The 27,290-nt window shown below is 35.8% G+C and overlaps 1 pseudogene, besides 1 other annotated feature; it reads right to left on the reverse strand.

Annotated features, from left to right (window-relative positions):
• ANKRD26P2 (ankyrin repeat domain 26 pseudogene 2) lies at positions 1-26,977 on the reverse strand (annotated as a pseudogene).
• Positions 11,729-12,928: an enhancer, noted in NCBI's record as "MED14-independent group 3 enhancer chr13:39495093-39496292 (GRCh37/hg19 assembly coordinates)". NCBI's record gives its function as "activates an origin of replication core promoter dependent on BRD2, BRD4, P300/CBP and CDK7 cofactors, and independent of MED14, by STARR-seq in HCT116 cells {active_cell/tissue: HCT116}" and the evidence as "EXISTENCE:reporter gene assay evidence [ECO:0000049][PMID:35650434]".

Raw genomic sequence — 27,290 nt, forward strand, 5'->3', positions numbered from 1 at the left:
TACTGTGAAACTTAAATAACACCATGGAACCCATACAAAGTGCCACCATTGATGCTGGAAGTGCTCCCAAGAAGTGGAGAAGTCATGACACTGTATTAAAAAGTCTGACATTGTCAAAGTAGAACATTTCTGAAAAGAAAACTATGCTTTCTTAAAATTAACAAATTATAAACCATTGAAGAAAATAAAACATGGATCCATATTGATACAAGTAAATGAATAAATTGAGGGTTTTAGGAGGAAGAGAGATATTTACATAGTCTCAAATTACCTCCCCACAGGATACTAAGTAACAGGACAAATCAAAATTGTAGGTCACATGATAAGATGCAATGAGACAATTACAGGATCACTTCTGTACAGGATATACTTGACCAAAGATGTAAAATCTCTTTGTTCCCCATACCTCAGCCTGACACAATATACCCATGTAACAAAGCTACACATGTACTCCCTGGAACTAAAGCTGAATTTTTAAAAAAGTATGATGTAAATTTAATCACAATGAAACACCAGAAACACCCAATTGACGAACATTCTACATTACTGGACTTTACTCTTTGAAAGATTCAAGGTTATAAGGTCAAGGGAAAACAGGAGCTGCTCCAGACAGAGTCTAAGAGACACAAGAACTAAATGCAATCCATGGTGGGTCTGAATGGATTATATAATTTTTCTTAAAATCGGCACATATTCTCACGATGCTTTTCAAACTAGATCTTGATTTAGATGTAACTCATCAGTAGATTCTACATAGAAGACTCAGATTCAAATTCAGCAGCACCTGGAAAGAAAATGAAAGAATGATGCTCCTTACCTAAAATATTTCATAGTTAACTAAGTGTAAGTCAGTAAAAGAGAGTTGAGAACTTTATCTGTTTTAATAAGAAGGAAAAATATGTACGTATGACCATGATACAAAATTACTGTTTAATATTAAATATAATCTGCCCATAGTTGTGCATTGAACTGTCATTGTGGTTAAGTATCAGAGCTTTTGGTTTTTTCACTCTTCATTCCTGTATTCAGCAACCATGTGACAATAAGCAGTGGAGTTACAAGATGAAGATGAACAGTTCACTTCTCAAAAATCGTATGATACAACCTGAAAAAACAAACAGGCAATTTCTTTACAGAATCATAGATACCATGACAGGTATAAAACAGGACACTATTGGAACACACAGAAGGGACACCTATCCCAGTTTTGTGTCAATATTGCAGGCTTTTTGGTGGAGGCAATATGTAGGTTGATATCTGAAGGACAAGGAAAAGATGTGGCACATAGAGGGAAGAAGCAAATGCAAAGAGATTAGAAAGAGCACTGTGGAATTCTATATAGTCCAGTTTGGCTGAATGCTAGAGCAAAGGGGTAGAGTAGGGTATGTGGCAAGAGACAAGGCTGAATAACTTGACAAGAACCAAACTGATGTAGGTGTTTTTATTGCATTCCAAGCAACTTAGAGCATTTCCTGAGTGCAAAAGTAAACCAATCACAAAATAAATAATTGGAGATTTTAAACATCACCTGTCAAGTAACTGTTTTTGAACTCTAATTGTTTGGCTAAGTATTACTAGATGACTCTGGTCTTTTGGACTTAAATTACTACCATGTCTTTGAGAAGCTGATGATGACTTTGTTTCTTGAGTGCAGTTTCAGTGTGCTAGCTGACAGTTCCCTAGGGATGGCAGAAATGAAGACGGTTTAGAGCCAGAACAAAAGAGATAGTTAGGTTCCTTGAGATTTTTTTAAAGCTATGGAACATGATGAATTAATGAAGCATAAGTATATTCTCCATTATGAGTATTTATGTGTTTCTGTCTTTTATGAAATGTATATAGGAAAAAAAACTTACTGTAATACAAACAGTGGAGAGGAAAGCCACTTGCTATTTATAGTTTATTTCAGGAATCAATTAATTAATCTAAATTTAATTAATTAATTTTGGCAACATACGTTCTTCTACTTCTCTAGTTATATTTTCTATCAACTCTTGCTGCATCTGAAATAAGCCAAATATTCATAATGTTTAAGTTAAACAGAGAAATTATCATGAAAATGATAGATCACTTATAAAATATGATCTTTCATACTTTTAGAGACAAGACCTAACTTGAGGATTGCGTAAATAGAAAAATTAACTACATAAACAAAATAAAAATCCTACTTATTTTAAGTTTAGATAAAAGAGAATATATATGTGTAATGCTCTTGACATTAGTCTAATAAAAAGTGCAATTAATATTAGTCTATGGAATATACATCTTTCAGAAGGGCAACGTTTTCTTTTACTAGTTACAAAGGTTACACAATTCAAGTCATATTTTGCAACAAACGCATTATTTTCTAATTCTTAGCAAAACTCTGACCTTTATAAGAGTTCAATCAGTTTTTTCACTTTGGTAGAATTCTCCTTAAAATACACTTTCCATTTTCCTCTTTTGGAAAATTAAAATTTTAAATACATTCCATGTTATTAACTTTTCGGGACAGAATTTTAAATATGTACCTGAAGAAAGTGGTACTGTCACATAATATGTGAAAATTCTACTGGCAAAATATTAAGTAGAAATATTATTCTATCTGCATTGCAACTAATTTTTTTACATATGAATAAAAAATCTTCCTTTCCATATGGGAAACAAAGATTTTTAAAATTTACTTGAAAAAAGAATATAGATTAAAACCAGTTTACAAACTTGGTTTCTTTGTTTCATGACCTTCTAGAATTAGAAACAAAGAAAACAATATACAGCCTTTTAATTGTAACTTTTATGCTTTTCAAAAAGTAGTAGCATTTTTTGAAACATCTAATTAACTGTAGTTCTCTACTTAATTATGAAATTGTGTGGGGATACTTCAAACTATATTGCAAGTGTTCCCATCTAGAATGTTTTTATTTAAATCTTTTGTGCAAAAGGTGTTCTCTCACTAAATGCCCAGAAAAGGTTCTAAAATTCTTTACTAAACATAATATTTTTGGTGACAATGACAATATGATATACAATGCCTTTACAAGTTTTTTGACCAATAGCTTTTGCAATATTTTAAGAGATAGTTTTCCATAATCTTTCTGTGATCATAACATTATAGACAGGCCTTATAAAACTAGTGACATGACAATAGAATTATGAGAAAAATTTTATAAAAGTGATAACTCAATATCAGATAAAGGGAGAAGGCTTTATTGAAAGAAATTTACTTTATCATTAATGAACACTATGTAAAATGTACATTTTTACGTGACTTGAATTAAAAAACTCTTAAAGTAACATTGTTATCTTTCCCCCAAAAGTTCTTCTTATACTTCCTATCTGTAATAGATTGTATTAATTTCTTTATACCCCATTCACAAATACATTCATAGTACATAAATTTTACTAGATAAAAATGAAGTACCTTTCTCATCAGCTTGCTTGTTTTTATGCTAAAGAAATAACTCTCTAGATAAAGAATATTTTTTGTATAACAAATTTAAGTAGAGGACTTTTTTTCTCTTTTGGTAGAAGTAGTTGCCCAACCTTGGGATGGCCTCCTCCTACATACATTTTTTTTAGCCTTTCACTGACCCTTGAACACTTTACCAGTTGCTGAGGGCAACTGCCTTTGGGTAAGAAACACCAGATCAGATATAAAAGCTCAGAGGGTAAAGAAACAGACTCAGAACACGGGAGATGCTCTGAGAGGGGCACCCGAAAACACTGGAAAATGATCTTGAGTGTTAATGACTCCAGTGTTGTCCTGGCTGTTGGGAGGCTGCGGTGGTTTTACCCATATTCACAAGGGGGAAATGAAAACTATTAAATAACTTTTTTTTTTTTTTCTGAGACAGAGTTTTGTTCTTGTTGCCCAGGCTAGAGGGCAATGGTGCAATCTCGGCTCACTGCAACCTCTGCCTCCTGGGTTCAAGCAATTCTCCTGCCTCAGCCTCCCGAGTAGCTAGGATTACAGGTGCTCGCCACTGCGACCAGCTAATTTTTGTATTTTTAGCAGGGACGGGGTTTGTCCACGTTGGCCAAGCTGGTCTCAAACTCCTGACCTCAGTTGATCCATCCTCCTCGGCCTCCTAAAGTGCTGGGATTACAGGCGTGAGCCACCACACCCGGCCTAAATGACTTTTTAAAATTCCCTTTTATTTTATTCTTGCTTTCCCATTAAATCACACATTTTCCTCACATTTCTATGAATAGAAATTCAGAACTTTTATCCCTGGAATTTTTACTGAGTGACTTAATACAGTACCTGGCACAGATTATGGAAAGGAAAAGGAGAGAAAAATGTCTTGGTGACATTAATCATTGTCCTGTTTGGTTAGAAAAGGGTGCCATTAATGGCTTTTGAAGTGTGTAGAATAATAGCCTAGCAGAAAATAAATATTGCCAGAGGAAATAGAAAAGCTTAATAAACTGCTAATTTTTATGTTATGCATAATACTAAATCAAAAGTTCCGTTAGTTCTGTATGGAGTGAAATACTTAAATATTTTAAATAAAAACGCTCCTGCTTTCTCCATGGCCTGTTTATTCAGCTTGAGATTATGTTTCAGTTGGTGGAGGTAGCTTGAAGTCCAACATTAATAAGGAAAGCACAACCGCAACTTTGTTTATACTTTTTTATTTAAAAAAAAAGTAAATAGGCCAGGCGCAGTGGCTCATGCCTCTAATCCCAGCACACTGGGAGGCCAAGGCAGGTGAATCACCTGAGGTCAGGAGTTCGAGACCAGCTTGACCAACATGGAGAAACCCCACCTCTACTGAAAATACAAAATTAGCCAGGTGTGGTGGTGGCATATGCCTGTAATCCCAGCTATTCGGGAGGCTGGGGCAGGAGAATCACTTGAACCCAGGAGGTGGATGTTGCAGTGAGCTGAGATCGCACCATTGCACTCCAGCCTGGGCAACAAGAGTGAAACTCTATCTCAAAAAAAATTAAATTAAACTAAATTAAATAGAACAAAGCCAGGAAATCATGTTGCCAGAGGGCTCAGGAGGGTCTCCAGATACCTGTGAGACCGCAGCCCCACCTGGCGTCCAGATTCTTGACACCATCACTACGAAGAATTCAGGGACAAAGGCTCAAGAAGCTTTTATTGCAAAGTGAAAGTACACACAGGAGAAGAGGACAGATGTGTCCGTGACAATGAGTCATGCACAACAGAATTTGGGGTTTCTGATTTTACGGGTGTTCAATTGAAAGGTGGAATCATCATTAGATATTCTGAAAAAGGAGGGGATATCAGGGACCTCTGCTAACCACCCCCTTTCTCCCTTGTTTGGGTTTCCTCAGAAGAGTCATGGACATGCCACCTTGACCGGGATTTTGGCCATTTTCTCTCTCTTAGTTTTATTGCCCTAAATTCTAGCCATACCAATGGCTTTCAGTGCTCCAAATACATCCCTCCATGCCTGGGTACTTTAGCCATGCTTTCCCCAGTCAGTGATGGTGGGCTAGGCACCTTCCAAGGCAAATGCTCACATACTCTCAGGACCTACCTCTAACACTTCCAGGGCCATGACTCAGAGGTTCCTCCAGAAGCCATGTAGATTACTCCCCAATTCCCCTTACTCCATGCATCTCGTACATCTCTATTCAATGCCATACCATACTGAATTAGAATTGCCTGTTTTAAGAGTGTTTCACAGGCACTCTTGTAGATGCATTTCAAAACTCTGAAAAGTGACTGATACGGAGCTGGTCTTGACTCAATAAATCCCTCAATCTTTTCTCCCGGTCCCATCACCTTGCCTACGTTTTTCTCTTGCCTGAGCCTTAACAGGTAGCACTCACTGTCTTCTGGGATGGCTCTGCTTATAAGATTCTTGAGGATGCCATTCAGAAATACTTGTATTTAAAGAGTATGTGAGATGATGAATTTGCTTAACTGTAATAATCATTTCACTATGTATAAATATGTCAATATATCATGTTGTGCTTCTTAAATTTATACAATTAATAAACTAAAACTTTTTTTAAAAGCCAAAACTAATTGTGTTTAGGAAACCAATTTAGAGATTTTAAAAATTAGCCCTCAAAGACATTTTCAAGCATGTTCTTTCACCACCCTTGTACAATTCACTCATTACCTGGGAAAAATTAAGCATTTGGCACTGAGGAATAATTCAGAGCAACAATTCTAGGGGAAAACGAGAGAGCTGAGTTGGTGATCAAAAAGAACTCAAGCCAACTTTAAAGGCAATTAGCTCCTAGCATTGCAACCACGGCATCAGAGGTGGGGCCTGCCCTCTGTCTTGCACTCATCCCCTTCAGGCTGAGCAAGGTGTTATTTTTAACTAGTTTGTGAATTATAATTCCCTTCACCCTTATGTTAATCATTACCTATTTCACAGGGATGCCCTTATGTAATGAAAAAACCATACAGGATAGTTTGTCTCATGGCGCCCTCTAGTGATAATACAAAGATCACAAACAAAGAAAGTTAATTCACCCAGTGCCAGAATGTGCCAAGAGTAATAGTACTTTTCTTTTCTTTTCTTTTTTTTTTTTGTTTTTGTTTTTGTTTTTTTGGAGACGGAGTCTGGCTTTGTCGGCCAGGCTGGAGTGCAGTGGCGCGATCTCGGCTCATTGCAACCTCCGCCTCCCGGGTTCAAGCGATTCTCCTGCCTCAGCCTCCAGAGTAACTGGGACTGCAGGAGCACGCCGCCATGGCTAATTTTTTTGTATTTTTAGTAGAGACGGGGTTTCGCCGTGTTGCCCAGACTGGTCTCGAACTCCTGAGCTCAGGCAATCCGCCCGCCTCGGCCTCCCAAAGTAGTAGGATTACAGGCGTGAGCCACCGGACCCGGCCGTACTTGACTTTTGAAAAATAAAACTTTCTTTACTCACAGATTACATTATTGAACAACTAGAAAATCCTATCAACAACAAGAACAATACAAACTTCTGGAACTAATAAGTGAGTTTGGCAAGGTCTCAAAATACAAGGTTAATATGCAAAAGTCCATTTCTTTCATATATATCAGTAAAGAGCAATTAGAATTTGAAATTTTAAAAAATACAATTTACAACAGCATCAAAAATAATGAAATACAATTATACATCTAACAAAGTATGTACAGGATATATATGTGAAAAAACTACAAAACACGTATGAAAGGCAACAAAGAATATTTAAATAAATGGAGAGAGAGTACATGTTTATATATTGGAAGAAAACATTTTTTAATAATTTCAACTTGTATTTTAGATTCAGGGGGTACATGTGCAGGTTTGTTACATGGCTATATTGCTTGATGCTGAGGTTTGGAATGTGATTGATTCCATCACCCAGGTACTGAGCAAAGCACTCAAGAGTTAGTTTTCCACACACTGACTCCCTCTTTCCCTCTCCCATTTAATAGTCCCATCATTTATTGTTGCCACATTTACAGCCATGAGTACCCAATGTTTAGCTCCACTTATAAGTAAGAACATGCAGTATTTAGTTTTCTGTTAATTTTATGTTAATTCGCTTAAGATAATGGCATCCAGCTGCATCCATGTTGCTGCAAAGAATATGATCTCATTCTTGTTCATGGCCATAGTGTATATGTACCACATTTTCTTTATTCAGTCGACCGTGGATGGGCACCTAGGTTTATTCCATGTCTTTGCTATTGTGAAAAGTGCTGTGATGAACATACGAGTGCATAGGTCTTTCTGGAAGAATGATTTATTTTCTTTTGTATATATACCCAGCATTGGAATTGCCGGGTTGAACGGTGGTTCTAAGTTTTTTGAGAAATCTCCAAACGGCTTTCCATGGTATCTGAACTAATTTATATTCCCACCAGCAGTGTATAAGCATTCCCTTTTCTCTGCAGCCTTGCCAGCATCTGTCATTTTTTATTTTTGTTTTGTTGTTGTTGTTGTTGTTGTTGAGACGGAAGCTCGCTCTGCTCTGTCGCCCAGGAAGGAGTGCAGCGGCGTGATCTTGGCTCACTGCAACCTCCGCCTCCTAGGTTCCAGTGATTCTCCTGCCTCAGCCTCCCGAGTAGCTGGGAGTACAGGTGTGTGCCACCACGCCCAGCTAACTTTTTGTATTTTTAGTACAGACGGGGTTTCACCGTGTTAGCCAGCATGGTCTCGATCTCCTGATCTCGTGATCTGCCCGCCTGGGCCTCCCAAAGTGCTGGGATAACAGGTGTGAGTCACCACGCCCGGCCCTTTTTTTTTATTTTTAGTGATAGCCATTCTGGCTGGTGTGAGATGGTATCTCATCGTGGTTTTGATTTGCATTTCTCTGATGATTAGTGAGGTTGAGTATTTTTTTTTTTTCGTATGTTTGTTGGCCACTTCTATGTCTTTCTTGAGAAGTGTCTGTGCCCACTTTTTAATGGGGTCATTTTGTCTTTTGCTTGTTGAATTGTTTAGGCTCCTTATAGATTCTGGATATTAGACCTTTTTCAGATGCATAGTTTGCAAATATTTTCTCTCATTCTGTAGGTCATCTGTTTACATTGTTGATAGTTTCTTTGCTGTGCAGAAGCTCCAGTTTAATTGGGTTCCACTTGTCAATTTTTGTTTCTGTTGCAAGTGCTTTTGAGAACTCCAAATTCTTTCCCAAGGCCAATATACAGAATGGTATTTCCTAGGTTTTCTCCTAAGACTCTTATAGTTTGAAGTGTTACATTTAAATCCTTAATCCATCCTGAGTTAATTTTGTTTTTTTTTTTGAGATGGAGTTTCGCTCTTTCGCCCATGCTAGAGTGCAGTGTGGCATGATCTCAGCTCACTGCAACCTCCGCCTTCTGGTTTCAAGAAATTCTCCTGTCTCAGCCTCCTGAGTAGCTGGGATTACAGGTGCTTGCCACCACACCTGGTTAATTTTTGTATTTTTTTTAGTAGAGATGGGGTTTCACCATGTTGGCCAAGCTGGTCTCAAACTCCTGACCTCGTGATCCGCCCGCCTCGGCCTCTCAAAGTGCTGGGATTACAGATGTGAGCCACCGCGCCTGGCCTTGAGTTAACTTTTGTATATGGTAAAAGGTAGGGAGGGTCCAGTTTCAATCTTCTGCATACGGCTAGCCGGTTATCCCAGCACCATTTATTGAATAGGAAGTCCTTTCCCCATTGTTTATTTTTGTCTAATTTTTTGTAGATCAGATGGGTATAGGTGTGCAGATTTCTTTCTGGAGTCTCTGTTTTGTTCCATTGGTCTATGTGTCTATTTTTGTGCCAGTTCCATGTTGTTTTGGTTACTGTAGCCTGACAGTATATAGCATAAAGTTTAGTATAAAGTCAGGTCGTGTGATGCCTTAAGCTTTGTTCTTTTTGCTTAGAACTTCTTGGGCTATTTGGGCTCTTTCTTGGTTCCATATGAGGATTAGAATAGTTTTTTCTAATTCTGTGAAAAATGGCATTGGTAGTTTGATAGGAATAGTATTGCATCTGTAAATTGCTTTGGGCAGTGTGGCCATTTTAACAATAGTGATTCTTCCAATCCATGAGCATGGAATGCTTTTCCATTTATTTGTGTCATCTCTGATTTCTTTCAGCAGTGTTTTGTAGTTCTCTTAGTAGAGATTCTTCACTTCCTTACTTAGATGTATTCCTAAGTACTTTTTTATGGCTATTGTAAGTGAGATTGCATTCTTGATTTGGCTCTGAGTTTGAATGTTACTGGTATATATCAATGCTACTAATTTTTGTGCATTGATTTTGTATCCTGAAACTCTGCTGAAATTGAAATTATTTGCCAGTTCTGGGAGCCTTTTGGCAGAGTCTTTAGGGTTCTCTAGGTATAGAATCATATCATCAGTAAAGAGAGAGAGTTTGACTTCCTCTTTTCCTATTTGGATGCATTTTATTTCTTTCTCTTGCCTGATTGCTCCAACTTGGACTTATAGTACTATGTAGAATAGGAGTGGTGAGAGAGGACATCCTTGTATTACTCTAAAAGGAATGCTTCCAGCTTTTGCCCATTCAGCATGATGTTGGCAAATAAATTTGTCATAGATTGCTCTTATTAGTTTGAGGTTTGTTCCTTTGATGTCTAGATTGTTGAGGATTTTTATCATGAAGGGATGCTTGATTTTATCAAAAGCTTTGTCCACATCTATGGATATAATCATGTGGTTTATGGTTTTAATTCTGTTTATATGGTGAATCACATTTATTGATTTGCATTTGTTGAGCCAACCTTGCATCTCAGGAATAAAGTCTACTTAATCACAGTGAAATAACTTTTTGATGTGCTGCTGGATTCAGTAGTATTTGGTTGAGGACTTTTGCATCTATGTTCACCAGAGATATTGACCTGTAGTTTTCTTTTCTCGCTATGTCTTTGCCAGGTTTTGGTATCATGTTGACACTGTCTTTATAGAATGAGTTAGGGAGGAGTCCCACCTCCTTGATTTTTTTGGATTAGGTTCAGCAGAATTGGCACCGGCTCTTCTTTGTACAACTGGTAGAATTCAGCTGTGAATCCATCAGGTTTGAGGCTGTTTTCATGGGGGCTTTTTAAGGTTTTCTATTGCTGATTCAATTTTGGAACTCAATATTGGTCTGTTCAGGGTTTCAATTTCTTCCTGATTCAATCTTGGGAGGTTGTAGGTTTCCAGGAATTTACCCATTCCCTCTAGATATTTTAGTTCGTGTGCACAGAGGTCTTCATAATAGTTTCTGAGGATCTTTTGTATTCCTGTGGGATTGGTTGTAATGTCATCTTTGTCATTTCTGATTGTGCTGATTTGGATCTTCTTTTATCTTTGCTCATCTAGCTGGTTGTCTATTGATTTTGTATCCTTTCAAAGACCCAACTTTTGGTTTCATTAATTATTTGTATGGATTTTTGGGTCTCCATTTGCATTCAGTTCTGCTCTAATTTTATTTCTTTCTTTTCTTCTGCTAGCTTTGGGGTTAGTTTGTTCTTATTTTCCTAGTTCCTCTAAGTGTGATGTTATATTGTTAATTTGAGATCTTTCTAACTTTTTGATGTAGGTGTTTAGTGCTGCAGACTTTCCTCTTAATACTCCTTTTCCTGCATCCCAGTGATTTTGGTATGTTGTATCTTTGTTATAATTTACTTCATATAATGTTTTTTATTTCTACTTAATTTTATTGTTTACCCAAAAGTCATTCGGGAGCAAGTTTTTTCATTTTCATATAATTGTGTAGTTTTGAGAGCTCATCCTGGTACTAATTTCTATTTTTATTCCATTGTGGTCTGAGAGTGTGGTTGGTATGATATGGATTTTTTCTAATTTCTTGAGACTTGCTTTACGAGCAAACATGTGTTTGATCTTAGAGAATGTTTTGTGTGCAGAAACAAAAAATATATATTCTGTAGTTGATGAATTGAGTATTCTGTAGATGTCTATTATGTTCAGTTTATCAGGTATCCAATTTTGGTCCAGAATTTCTTTGTTGGTTTCCTGCCTCGATGATCTAATACTCTCTGTTAGTGGGGTGTTGAAGTTCTCCACTATTTATTGTGTGGTTGTACAAGTCTTTTTGTAGGTCTAGAAGTTCTCATTTTATGAATGTGGGTGCTCCAGTGTTGGGTGCATATATATTTCGAATAGTTAAGTCTTCTTGTTGAATTAAACCCTTTATCATTATGTAATGCCCTTCTTTGTCCTTTCTTACTGTTGTTGGTTTAAAGTCTGCTTTACCAAAGAATCACAACCCCTGCCTTTTTGGTGTTCTGTTTGCATAATAGCTCTTTCACCAACCCTTTACTTCAAGCCTATAGGTGTCATTATATGTGAGATGGGTCTCTTGAAGGCAACAAACAGACGGGTCTTGATTTTTTTTCATCCAGTTTGCTACTCTGTACCTTTTAAGTGAGGGCATTTATACTGTTGACATTAAAGGTTAATATTGGTTTCTGAGGTTTTGATCCTATGGCGAAGCTGATAGCTGGTTGCTTTGTCATTTCTATTGCATGGTTATTTTATGCGGTCTGTGAGCTATGTAACTTGTGTGTTTTTGTGTTAGCACACAAAACACATGCTCCACAACAATCTCTGCAAAGGAAGGGTGGGATGGCTCAGCTTACTGGTCCTGGCAAGCAGGTGCTCTGACTGCCTGGAGATATGCCTGGGCATGAAGTAGAGAGGGCCTTGCTGTACCACAATCTCTGTACAGGAAAGGTGTGACAATTCAGGCTGCTGAACCAGGTGAATGGATTCTCTGAATGCCTGGAGAGATTTGCCTGGGCTTGAACCAGGGAGGACTCCTCTCGCACCAGGATCTCTGCACAAAAAGGATGGGGTGGCTTAGGCTATTGCTCCAGGAAAGTGGGTGCTCCAAATGCCTAGAGTTCAGCCTGGGGGGTGGAGCAAAGAGGGACCCACTGTACAACATCTCAGAGGAACAGGTTGGGGCACCCAGCAATGGCACATGCAGACCAGTTCCAGGTCACCAAGCTGGCCCTGGCTGCAAGTCTCATTGAACAGGAGAAACTGCAGAACCCTCTTCATCCCAAACCCAGGCATATCACCAGGCGGCTCTCTTCCTATCCCAGACCTGTGATGGAGGAAAATACAATTCCAGTGCCTACTACTGAGGTGCTTTCCACAATTACCCCAGTGTGGAAACCCCTACCCTTCTCCAGAGCAAGCATGAGAATCTCTGGCCCAGACGAAAATGCCTGAACAGCCATACTGCCAGGTTCCCAAAGAATGTCTGACCCTGTACTCACCCAGATTAAAAATGGTGTCCTGCTCTTGGTCCTGGATCTGGGAAAATATCTGCAGTTTTCCTTGTGTTTCCCTCCCAGCATCTCCAAGCCTCCCCTCAAGTTAGCTGCAGAGTTTGGGAGAAACAAAATGCTCTCCCTTGGCCTGGGTTGCTCAGATCCCCAGTGGAAAGACGAGTCACAGACAGAAGCTCTTTGCCTCTCTCAGGTACTGGAGCTTCGCTCACTTTTATCAGCTGGATACCATCGCGGGGGCGGTTTGCCTGCATTCTTCTCCCTGAGATCTGGGGTGTCCTTCACAATTCCAGTGGATTCCCCTTTTCCTAAGTGAATTAAAGCTCAGGGAGTTGGTCTCTATGCATCATTTTGCTATTTCCAAGTAACTGAGACATGCTAAAAATCATCTGCCATCTTGGAAAGAAAAAAAAAACTTGACTCTTTTGGATGAAGTTGTAGTCTTTCAAATAATAGTTAAACTCAACATTACTATTTAGAGAAACGCTGACAAGCAATTTTAGAACAATATCACTGTCTAAATTATAAAGCTTCAAAATTACTTAGCTTAAAAACTAACAGATCAAGTTAACTACATGAGAATATTAAGGGGAAAAAAAGCCTTATAAAAAAAAAATTGGGAGAGAGATATAAAGTATCCTGGACTAACATTTTAAAGGTAAGTTCATTTACTAACATCATTTTCCAAAATTGTATTATCTAGTTACCTTTCAGTTCCCAGTAATATCTTAAACCTGTCTCACTAAAAATTATGCTTTCGAGGCAAATTAATGAGCTTAATTTATTTTCTATGATTCTATGTTTTGACTTACGTGTTTAGTTCATATAACAAAGATTCTCTTTTAATTCTTCTAGATATAGCTGCTTCTGTTTTTCTAATTCGCTATCACTAAAGTTTTCTTGAGCAATTTACATTTGGGACTGCTCAGCTTCCAGAGCTTTAATTTTGAGTTCCATCTTATTTATTGAAGTAATATCATGCCATCTTAACTGCTCTAAATGTTCTTTAGATGCTGCTTCTGTCTAAAGCAAATTAAACAGCTACATTTTTAAAATAATGACCGAAATTATTATTGTATATTTGTTTTATTTTGTTTTGAGTCAAAATACAGAGCAATTTCAAATATTAAAAAAAGAAGCTAAACTTTAAAATATTTGTCAACAATATCAAGTAAATTGAAATTTGTATTTGAATTAAATCTGAATTATAAAAAAGTAAATCATTCTTATGTTAGTACTCATGTAATCTAATAATCCAAAGAATAATGAAATCAATTTAAAATTTTTTAAACTCAACAACGTAATTTAAGAACAATTCAAGAGTCTGGCATAATTTCTAAATCACAATTATTTCTTTTCTTGATAGTCATATTTTATGCCTGCTGGTCTTAATAATCAAATATTTCTATAGGGGAAATTATTATTCTGAAAGACTGATTTAGTTATAACAGTGATGAAAATTGAAATATTTAAAAGGATAAACAGATGCCACCTTCCTTCTAGAAATTTATAAATATATAAAGTAAGGGGAGGAAACAGATACAACATATATGTTGAAAATATAATTTAAAGTGAAATGAAAGTACATCTTAGATGAATAAACTAACCAGATTAAAAAAAAAACTTATAGATTGACTTCTTGTAATTCTTCTATACGCTGTCTTGCTCTTTCTCCAATCTCCTGTTTATATTGTTTGACTTGACCACATTCTACCATACTTATGTCTACATGACTTTTGAGGTCTATTACTTCTTGTTCAAACATGGTTTTTTCTTCTGTAGTTTTTCACATTTTTTGTATTGTTTTCATAGATAATAACTCCTGTTGAAAAAATTTATTCTCTGTATCCAGATTTAGACGTATTAAAGACATAGCTTCCATTGCTGTAAGATCATCGATCTTCATGAATAAAATAATATATAGTTTGGTAACAAAGGAAATAGGCTTAGAATAATTCTAACACAAAACCAATAACAGTTTGTGAAATAAATTCAGCCATGAAAAAATGTTATCTCTTCTGTAGTAGATTCTTCAAATGTGGACCCTTACTTAGAAAATCAAGAAAGTTAAAGCCGTCAGAAGTAACGTAAGTGTATTTTTTACTCTTATCAACTCTGCCACACAATATTTGCACTTGATCTTAGACATGTATTTTTCTATAATTATTTCTCTGTCTTTCCTCTTTAAAATGGCTCTAAGTCACCTCTTAGTAGAAGGCCTCTTATTCCTTTCCCCCATCACTACCCACTATAATTTCTAAAGAAGTTTAACGGACTTCATATTGAGTTGTTTAGGTCTTACTCTATAAATGGCTCTGCGAGTAAAACTTTGAAAATAAGATTCTAATTAATGAATCCGGTATTATGGATTCAATATCATAAGCCTTTTTCTAAACTGCAAATGTTATATGCTAATTTGAACTGCACTCCAAGGAGTAATGACTCTTGGAGTTTAAGGCCACAGAAAACAGGACACAGAAATGAATCCACATATTTACCGCCAACTGATTTTCAACAAAGATGCCAAGAACGTACACAAGGGAAAGGATACCCTCTTCAATAAATGGTGCTGAGAAAACTGGATATCCATATGAAGAAGAATGAAGCTAGACCCCTATCTAACACCATATACAAAAATCAACTCAAAATTAAATAAAGACTTAAATGTAAGACCCCAAACTATAAAACTACCAGAAGAAAACATAGGAGACATTCTTCAGGATGTTGGTCTAGGCAAATATTTTATGAGAAAGAATTCAAAAGCACGGGTAAAAAAAAAAATAGACAGACAGTATATTAAACTAAAAAGCTTCTGCCCAGCAAAGGAAACAATCAACAGTGAAGAGATAACCTATAGAATGGGAAAAAATATTTCCAAACTATTCATCTGACAAGGACTAATATCCAGAATATACAAGGAACTCAAACAACTTGACAGCAAAACATGAATAATCTGATTCAAAAGTGGGCAAAGAATCTGAATAGACATTTCTCAAAAGAAGACATGGAATGGCCAAAAAATATTAAAAATGCTCCACAGCACTAATCATCAGGGAAATACAAATAAAAACCACAATACGATATCTCACTTCCGTTCAAATGACTGCTATCAAAAAGACAAACAGTAGCAAATACTGTGCAGATGCAGAGAAGAGGAAACTCTTATACATTGTTGGTGGGTATGTAAATTTATACATCCATTTTAGAAAACAATGTAGAGTTTTCTCAAAAACTAAAACAGCAGCAACAACAACAAACTTAAAATGAACTGCCATATGACCCTGCAATCCCACTACCAGACATTTAACTGATAGAAAGGAAATTAGTACATCAAAGGGCCACCTGCATCCCCACGTGTGTTGTAGCACTATTTACGACAGCTAAGAGATGGAATCAACCTAAATGTTCATCGAAAGACAAATGGATCAAGAAAATGTTGTATATACAAAATGAAACACTATTCAGCCATAAAATGAAATAAAATCCTGTCATTTGCAGCAACATGGACAAGTCTGGAGGACATTATGTTAAGGGCAGGCACAGAAAGGTAAATACTGTGTGTTCTCTCTCATATGTGGGAGCTTAAAAAAAAATTAGCTCATGAAAGTAGAGAGTTGAATTGTAGGTATTAGAGGCTGGGAAAGGTAGTGGGCAGGAGAGGAGAGGCTGGTTAATGGATACAAAATTATAGCTGAGGTAGGAGGAATGAGTTTTGGTGTTCTGTGGCATTGCAGGGTGGATATGGTTAACTATGATTTATTGCATATTTTCAAAAAGCTAGAAGAGAGGATTTTGAACATTCACAACACAAAGAAATGTTAAGTATTTGAAGTGGTAAATATGCTAATTAGCCTGATTTGAACATTACACATTGTATATATGTATCAAGATATTACTCACTCTGTATTCCATAAATATGTGTATATGTATCAATTAAAAGCAAAAGAAAAAATATGTATCCCATAAAACAATAGAATATGGGCCAACCTTAATGATTTGCTTCTAATGAATGCGATGTGTCCTGAGCTTCCACACAATGGGGGTCTGGGGTTCCAAGGGCAAGCAGTCTAAGATACAGAGCCTTTTTTAACCTAATGTTAAAAGTCACGTAGTATTAGTATAATTTTCACCACATTCTATTCATTAGAAGTAAATTGCTAAGAGAGCGCAGGAGTTCTAGTAGGTTTTCAGGCTGCCTGCCCCAGATAAAGTTCCAGTCAGTGGTCGGCATCAATGACCAGACAAGTGGGGGAGCAAACCTTCAGATGATTCCCGTCCCCCCGCCTTTGAGCTGTTCCCAAGGAAACTGAAAGGAAAAGGGACAAGCTGTCTTGGCCAAGCTTTTCCCAAACCACAGATTCCTGAACTAAATACATGTTGTTGTTTTCAGCCATTACACTTTGTGTAATTGTTGGAAAACAAAAACAGAAAAGATTTTTAAAAAGAGACAATAAGAATCATAAATTACACAGTAGATATTAGTCTCTTTTAAAGTAGGATCTAATCAGTATTGAGATCAATTTATTAATGGCAAACAATGCTAATGAGAAACAGTAGATAACTAGAAGAAAGACATAAGAGCTATTGAGGAGGAAGTTTTTCTGAAGTTCCCTTCATTTACAAACTCTTATAGCTAAGCAAATGTGCCTCTTTAGAATTTTCCCACAAGTTTGAGAATAAGAAAGACTGAGAAGCAAGGAAACATTATGTGAAGCGTAATCACTGGAAAACAACTAGAAATGTTTGGTTTAATGACTGAAATCACACATTTTCCCTGATTTTAATTAACTGAAATTCTAAAAGAAGCAAGCAGCTTTCAGTATTTATTAATAAATCTAATATTTTAATCTTCACTTTCCTTTCCTCAGTGAGGAAATAAGGAGAACATCGTGGAATCATTTTTAATCTTCTCAGAAGTAAAATAAATGTAGTACGCTTTGAAATGATGAGAAATTAAATACAATTTCTCCTTTACCTTCAAGTTTCTTTATATAAAGAAGCTAAGACCATCTTATCTTTACATCGTACTACAATGCTTCTCCATAACATACAAATTGGCTCTGAAATTTTGAAATTCAAATAACTAATTTGACAATTATCTGTCTCTGATAAATTGCCTGAACATTTTCTGCTTTTTAAGTGCTGTACTCCTGGAAATTTTTCATTAAATCGGTTGAACTATTTTAAAACCATGTACTGAGCTATAAAGTATAGCTGTGCATCTCTATTGGTTTAAGTAAAGAAAGGTAAATACAGGGAATTGTGGTATCTGAAAACACACAATCTGCACCAAGAAAAGGATCAGCTCACTATTATACACAAGAATAAGGTATGAGATTGGAAGAGGATCTAACTATGAACTGAAAGATGACATATGATGAGCTCAGTTTCCAATGACAACAGCTGACAGCCCAGACTTTTCTCCTTCCTGGATAGTAAAAATCTACAGATCATTCTATGAATTATAGCGAGTTAATAAAACATAATGTAGTAAACAGTAGACTGTATCAGCAGATCCTGTGACCACGATTTGATGAAAATGGGACTGTAGAGGGATACACTGGGTGAGACATTAAAGGTATGAATGGGGGAATAAAGGAAAGGACTCTGTCCATTCCTTTGTTAGCCTGACTTCCTATCATGTCATGGAGTCAGCAAGGTTGACTTATGTTGGCCACAGGCTCCTTCAATAAGCAAACAGTGAAGTTAAAGATGTTCCACAAAATTGAATTTTTATTATGACCTAAGACAAATGGTGACATGCAACATGATTAAAAAAGAGTTCTCACAAAATTTTCTTTGGTACTGGCATAAGAATAGATATAAATCAATGTATTAGAATTGAGAATTCAACAATAAATGTACACATTTACAGTCAACTGAGTTTCAACAAGGGTAAGAAAGTAATTAAATAGGAAAAGAATAGTCTTTTCAACAGATGATGCTGGGACAACAGGATATCTGCTTGCAAAAGAATAAAGCTGGGTTCCCACCAAATACCATATATAAAAATTAACTCAAAACAAAATAGCTAAATGTAAGAGCTAAAACTATAAAACTCTTAGGAAAAAATAGGGATAAATCTTTGTGATTGCATTTGTCAGTGTTTTCTTCCATATAATACCAAAAGGAAAAATAGATTAACTGGACTTCATCAAAATTTAAAAGTGTTGTGCTTGAAAAGACCCTATCAAGAAAGTAAAAAGTCAAAACTTTGAGTAGGAAAAAATATTTGAAAAGTATATATCTGATAAGGGACTTATATCTAGGATCTTGGAAAACATACCAGCAGCTCCTGAAAAAGTTAAGCATAGAATTACCGTATGACCCAGCAACTCAACTCATAAGTATATACCCAAGAGCAATAAAATCATATGCACACACAAAAACTTGTACTTGAAACTTCATAGCAGCTTTATTAATAATGGCCAAAAGTTGAAACAATCCAAAGGTCCATCAACGGATGAATTGATAAGTAAAATGTTTGTTATATCCATATAATGCAGTATCATTCAGCAATAAGAACACATTAAGTACTGATATATGCCACAACGCAGATGAAACTTGAAAACTTTAGGCTGAGTGAAAGAGGCCAGTCACAAAACACGACGTGTGGTGATTTGAATGATATGAAATGTCCAGAATAGGCAAATCTACACAAGCAAAATGGATAGCTGTTTCCCTAGGGCTGGGCAAGGAAGGGGAAACTGGTAAAGGATGTAAGCGTTTTTTTTAGGGTGATAAAAATGTTCTAAAATTAATTGTGATGATGATTGCATAACTGTGAAAATACTAAAAGCCCTTGAATTGTATATTTTAAGTGAGTGAATTGTGTGATATGTTAATTATATCTCAATAAAATGAAAACAAAAACAAAAACAACCTGATTTGGTACTACTGATTTGAAGTCATATAATGGCGTACTGCTTGCATTTAGACCATTGGCCAGGGTTCAAGACACAAGAGAATCAGCAGTATACCCTTTATATTATGTAAAAATGATATATTAAAATGCTATCGTTTTCACTGGTATCAAGTACATAAAATAAAAGGAAAATTTTTTCTTTCAGTACTCAAAGCATTGAGAGATTTCTATTTCCCAAAATAAGTGATTTTTTTTGGTCCCAAAACTGATTAAAAATTACCTTATATTTTAGATTATTAATCTGAATATCTACATCAAATTGATTGGTCTTTACATCTCCATAAAAACTAAACTTGCCATTTTCACATTCATTGAGCTTCTTTTCTGTCATTTGTAAGAGTTTCTTATAGCTGCAGGAATGTACAGAACGAGTAAATCAAATTTCTTAAGGGTAAATATTTAATAATTATTTAAAGAGATATTACATTCTAACATACAAAAGAAACAAATCCATAAATTAGAATCCTCTCTCATTTGTTTCAAACTAAAAGAGTTGGAAAACATTTAACGAAAGTATAATCTTAGGTAAATAACATGAAGAAAATTTTTATGACATGTATGGCAGATAAAGAGTTAATATTAATTAATAAACTAGTGTGCATTTTAGTATATTAATATAAAACTTTAAACTATTATTAATTATGAGCTCTAACCTAGAGCTCAGTATCCCAGGTGAAGAGAAAAGCATACTTATATAAGTTTGAAAAAGACACAAAAATACATTTTGATACCCATTGACAACAGTCTATAAGAAGAAAATACATGCAGAAAACACCAAGGAGATTATTCAAAGTAGAAAAATGGACACAAAAGAAAACATCTGTGAAGTCTCAGTTAAGGAAGAAAAGGAAACGGGCAAGAGTTTTACAAGGAAGGAAATGAGCAGAGAGATAATGCATGGGCCCTTAAAGGCTGTTTTAAGAAGAGCTCTAGAGATCTTTGCCAGTACAATGTTAACAAAATGAAACGAATGCAAAATCATGTAGAGAAAGACAATGAGAGAAAAACAGTAATTAGAATCAGAAAACAAACCTAAGTACTCAGCAAATACGTAGAAAAAAAGTCATGCTGGGGTCTTCAAAGGTACTGGGAAACATTCCATTTTCTATTTGGGTGATAGAAACACAATGTCCATTTTAAATGCACAAGAGCGAAACTCTGTCTCAAAAAAAAAAAAAGAAAGAAAGAAAAATATCACCACATACACAATTCATCTTTTTTTCCTCATGTGCACACATTGCTATTTATTACTGAATCCAGTTAAGGACACAGATGTTATCTTCCTGCCAGATAGATGTTCTGTTACTAGACAACAGTTTTAGCCCACCATTCATTCAGCCCTCGATAATTCTGCAATGCTTAACAACCTACTGAAGTCTCAAAAAAGAAATGGATAATGTAGGGAAGACTGGTGGTGGTAAATTCTACACTGTGGAACGTTTTCCTCTTTTTTTTTTATTAGAAGCTCCAATCAACCTCAGGGGTCCTCACTTATTCAATTGCCTGCCCAAATCCTTCCAATAGATTCCTGTCTCCAGAATGAAAGAAAAATTCCAATGGCCTTTGAGGCCCTTTAGGTAACCTCCCTGACCTCAGCTGCCATGACTCTCCCCTACTTACAGCATTTCTGCTATATGTGAATCCCACCACCCCTCATTAGTCTGAAACTGGGGGGTCCATTGCCAAACTAAAAGATCACAGATAATTACACTTATCATTGTTGGACAAAATTATATCCAAATAATGGTCATTGAGCCTTGAAATAAAAATTATAAGCAAATGATTTCTAATAATATTAAATTACCTATACCAGTGGGAAAAATAAATCAAATATGGTTTTCCTAAAATTCACCACATTTGTCCCAAATTGTTATTTAATAAAAAGTAGATGCCTTTTAAAAGTCAAGTGGTCATAACAACATGTAATTTGAGATTGAAATATTTTCAGATTTAAGTCAAATTGACATGAATAAAAATAAAATCATACCAACTAAAATGTGTGAACAGCTAATGAAGAAAAAGTATTACAAGATACAACAGTACACTTCAGTTCATCTGGGAAATCTAGAATTAACTGTCAAAGTAACTCATTTAATCAAATCTTAATTTCAAAACACTCATTTCAATTATGAGCATTTCCATTTATCTGCTACATTATAGTCTTAAAATGTGGCAACGTAAAGGCATTAAAATTATTTCAGCAGTGTAAGGCTACATTATTAATATTAGTCTATATCTATTAATAATTTGTAACAAACTCTTAAAATTGGATAAGTAACATAACGTCATTACTCAAAGTAAAGAATCTCTCAGCTTTAGGGCCTGGCGCAGTGGCTCACGCCTGTAATCCTTAGCACTTTGAGAGACGGAGGCGAGTGGATTGTCTAAGCTCAGCAGTTCGAGACCAGTCTGGGCAACACGGTGAAACCCCATCTCTACTAAAACACAAAAAATTAGCTGGGCATGGCAGCATGCGCCTGTAGTCCCAGCTACTCTGGAGGCTGAGACAAGAGAATTGCTTGAACCCAGGAGGTGGAGGTGGCAGTGAGCCGAGATTACACCACTGCACTCCAGCCCAGGCGACAGAGCGAGACTGTCTAAAACAAACAAACAAACAAACAAACAAACAAATCTCTCAGCTTTAACTATTATTTGCTGAAAATAAGGCATTTCTAAGCTAATACAGTGAATAAATCAATCATCTATTTTTACATTCAACTAGACTAAACATTTAGCTACCAGCAAATATGACTTTAAATTTTCCTTCAGGAGGTTTGAAAAATATTTATCTTTCTGAATACTTAGTTCTCTTTCTGCTTTCTCTTCTTCATATTGATATAGTATTTCTTTTAAATGATCACACTCATTTAATAACTCCTTATATTTATCTTCTAGTGAACAACGTTGCTTTTCATTCCCAAGAAATTGGTCTTGAGTATTAATTATCTTTTCTTCCGTATCTGCATCTTGTGATCCTCATCTAGTTGCTGTTGAAGCAGCATATTTTCATTTTGTAGCTGGGATAATCTCTCTTCCATGGCTTCCTGCTTTGCAGTGCATTTACTCACTTTATCTTGCTCATTTTCATACATTTGTTCAGTGTCCTTCATCTGACATCGTGTTTGGCGTAGATCTCTTTGTAGACGTTCTGAAACCAAAGTTATATCTCTGAGAGCATCTCTTGTGTTATGGAACTAAATTGTTAGGTTACTGAATTTACTTTGAGCTTCAGAAAGTTGTTGAGAAAGAATTTCATTGTTACTTTTTAGGTTAGACATGTCAAAATTTATTTTTTCTTGTAAACAAGCATCTCTTGCACTCTGGAGAGCAAATTCTAGGTGTTTCCTTGATATCTTGCCTTGATCAAGATCACATATAGCAGCAGCCAGTGTATAACCATAGGATTCAACTTCTGTTTCCAGTCTTTCCGTGTTTTCTTTTTCTTTCTTCAGTTCAGAACTGAGCAATAATCTCTCACCTGCTCTCACCTGTCAAAACATTCAGCTCTCCATTACAGTCAGATACTGTTTTTGTTACTGTTTCCTGGGTTTTTATTGTGTCCGTTTCCAGTCTTAGAGTGACAATTTCTCCCTTCAACATGCAATTTTCATGCAACATATCTTCGTGTCTATGAGAAATCTAAGTAAAGCAAAGGAAACTTTTAGCTACCACTCAATAAAATTACATATCACAATTTCCTCTAAAATTAAAGAATAACCTGTACATTTATACAATGAAAGGGTTGCCGTATGTGGATATCCAACTGGAGAAAAAGTCAGGTCAAAACCTCAAACCTAATAGACCATAGACTACCAAAAGTTCAAAAATTTATTTGAAAACAATGAATCTGTGAAAGTAAAAAAGAAACCACTAGGGAAGATTTAAGAATCTCAAAATTGGATAAGCCCCTCCCTGAATTACAACAAATCCAAAGGCATAAAATAAAAAATTAAAAACTTGGACTATGTTAAAAAACTGGGGCCGAGCGCGGTGGCTCACACTTGTAACCCCAGAACTTTGGGAGGCCGAGGCAGGTGAATCACGAAGTCAGGAGTTCGACACCAGCCTGACCAACATGGTGAAACCCGTCTCTACTAAAAAAACTACAAAAATTAGCCGGGCACAGTGGCAGTTGCCTGTAATCCCAGCTACTTAGGAGGCTGAGGCAGGAGAATCGCTTGAACCCAGGCAGCAGAGGTTGCAGTGAGCTATCACACCACTGCACTCCAGCCTGGGTGACAGAGTGAGACTCCGTCTCAAAAACAAAAAAAAATAATAATAATTGTTTACCCTGGCCAGGCACGGTGGCTCATGCTTATAATCTCAGCACTTTAGGAAGCCAAGGCGGGCGGATCACCTGAGGTCAGGAGTTCAAGACTAGCTTGGCTAACGTGGCGCAACCCCATCTCTATTAAAAATACAAAACTTAGCTGGGCATGGTGGCGGATGCTTGTAATCCCAGCTACTCGGGAGGCTGAGTAAAGAGAATCGCTTGCACCCAGGAGGTGGAGGTTGTAGTGAGCTGAGATCACACCACTGCACTCCAGTCTGGGTGACAGAGAGAGACTCTGTCTCAAAGTAAATAAATAAATAAATAAATAAATAGGGTTTACACCCTGATGGCTAACTTATACATGACCCCATAATAAGAACTTTCGCACTGCATATATTTGGACAGATTAAATTTCCCAAAGTTATTTAAGTTTCTTTGTCCTGAGAAGGTTCTATAGACATTCTACTTTTCTAATGTTTTTATAGTCAGTTATAAGAATTGCATTCATTAACGAATGATAAAGCTAGGCATTTTAGCAAGTACTTCTACATATACACATCACATTAGTTATCACAATTCTGAAAAGAGGAGGTTAAAAATGTAAGTGAGCTACAGGATTTTCCCCAAGTCTTCTGATTCTACTTCTAGTGTTCTTCCACCAAATCCAAGTTACTTCTGTGGGATAAGTATACAAATAACACAAGTAGCCTTTTATTTCAAAGCACCAGTAGTAAATAAGATGACATTTATAGAGCTTTTTTTAGAAAATCATGCAGTTATTTTCTATTGCAATAACTTTTGTTTTCTCTTCATGTTTGAAACAGTAATAGAATAAAATACACTAAACTATTTCACTAGGAATGACATACTTATCAGTAAATTATCAGCAAGTGTATATTATGACATCATTATTTTCAAAAGCTCTTTGTACTGAAATAAGACACTACTTGGATGCCAAGATTTATAACAAATAACTATAGCTGTAAATATCATAGTTCATTTTTAAGATAAGATAACATTTTTGGTTTGTTTTAGACCTAAACAATATGTATTAAATCAAAAACATACTATAAGTGATATTGATGAAACAAAGTTAGAAATAGGAAATTTTTAACAAATATTAATGTTACTGATGTGAATTATTTCTTGCAGTCTTCCATTCCATGTCTAGTATCATTTGAGACTGAGTTCAAGTTGTTGTTTCACTTCGATTTCTTTCTTATATTCCTCTTCTTTTCTGCCTAAATCTTCCCTAGTTTTTTCATATAACATATCAGCATTTCTTCTCTTCTTCTTGTTTTAAAGTAAATCTGCAGTTAAATATGCTTATCTTAAAATTCATTTTGTTAGAAAATAAAACGTTCATTTTGTGATCTGCCACTTCATCAGTTAATTTATTATCCTAATAAAATTTCTATGTTCTTAAATATTTTCCCTTTCTAGTTCTCAGATATCTAATTGTTTACTTCAGTCTCTTCCGAAGGATGTCTGTCTTGAAAGGTGGCGAGGAAAGAATACTCTGCCCATTGGCGAGTTTCCATTACTAGTAACTTCAGTTAATATTATTGAAAAGGATGTTGGAAATTATTCAATAAATTTACATGTCAAAAATTTCCTTTTTACCACACCTCTGTAATTAGGACAGATCATTTAAAGTTAACTAACTAAAAAGAAGTTACTGTTTAAAAGCAATTTTATAAATTCTCATCTTTATGAAATATTGCAGGTACCCCTAAAAATGATTTGCAGTGTAATATAAATAGCACCTTCAGATGTCTTTCACACAACGTATATCTATAAATTATTATAACCAAAGACTAGGCCAAAGAATCTAATACGTGTTACCCCACACATTTTGTTTCTTTTTTGACTGCTCTGCTGGTTGAGTTACAAATTAATATAAATCTTTTTGAGAACAATTTAGAAATATTGACCAAAGACCATTTTTAAAAGTTTCTATACTTTAACCAAATAATTCTATGTTGAAGAATTTATTTAAAGTAAATAATTAGAAATGTAGAAAAAGATTTTTATAACAAATGTTCCTCACCGTACTTATTATAATGCAAAAATATTTAAAAATTAAACATCTAATTTATTATATAAATAATGAGATTTCCATATGATGGACTCCTATAAAGCCATTAATATTATGATTTAAAATATATGAATTTAATTATTATTATAATAGAATTCATTGTATTAATTTAATTATTATAATACTATATTATTAATTATAATTAATTATGATAGTAGAAGTATTCACAGTTAAGGACTTGTTATATTATTTTGGCCTGGGTGTAGTGCTCACACCTATAATCCCAAAACTTTGGGAGGCTGAGGCAGGAGGATCATTTGAGCCCAGGAGTTCAAGACCAGCCTAGGAAAGATAGCAACACTCCATCTCTACAAAATAGAAATAAGAATAATAATTTTTAAAAAGAGCTTGTTATATTATTTTGAAGAGTTTCACACTCCACAAGACCAAAAGATGTTCTCCACTGTTACAACCCAAAAGGTAAGTCAATAATGACAAAAATTTTCCTATGTATGTTATTATAAAGTAAGTAGTCCAAAAATTTCTTTTAAACTAGAATGTCATACCTCAAATTGCTGAGTTTTTGTTCCCATTCAACTTGTTGGCTCTCTAGCTGTGATGTAATTTCTTTTTGTTGTTGTTGTTTTTGTTTTTGTTTTTTGAGATGGAGTCTCGCTCTGTCGTCCAGGCTGGAGTGCCATGGTGCGATCTCGACTCACTGCAACCTCCACCTCCCAGGTTCAAGCAATTCTCCTGCCTCAGCCTCCTGAGTAGCTGGGACTACAGACATGTGCCACCACACCCAGCTAATTTTTTTTTGTATTTTTAGTAGAGACAGGGTTTCACCATGTTGGCCAGGCTGGTCCAAACTCCTGACCTCGTGATCTGCCCACCTCAGCCTCCCAAAGTGCTGGGATTACAGGCGTAAGCCACCACGCCTGACCTAATTTCTTTTGTTTCAGATAGTTCCTTTGGTAGTACACTAAACTCATTTATCATTTTTTCAATTTCTACTGTAAGTTATTCACTGTGATCATTTTTAAGTTCTACTGATCTTTCACATAGGCAAACTGCATCCAGGCTAACAGAGCCTGTATCAGGGAGAAAACAAGGCAGAAATAAAATTTATAAGTGCTTTTTAACTATGAAGGACTGCATATTTTAACATTCACTCATTCATACACTGAACAAATATATGAGTGCCTAAATGTAAGAGACACTATACTAAGCTCTGCAGATAAAACAGACAAAACTTCTGCTCTTGGTTAGCTTATAGTGTAGTGAAGAACAAAGACAGAAAAAGATAACAGAGTTCTATGCTGACATAAGAGAATTTAATCAATACCGGGCCCAGGGAAGATTTCCCTGAGGAAGAGACGGCTACACTGAGAAATGAAGA

The sequence above is a fragment of the Homo sapiens genome, chromosome 13 (assembly GCF_000001405.40).
Source record: "Homo sapiens chromosome 13, GRCh38.p14 Primary Assembly".
Classification (NCBI taxonomy): domain Eukaryota; kingdom Metazoa; phylum Chordata; class Mammalia; order Primates; family Hominidae; genus Homo; species Homo sapiens.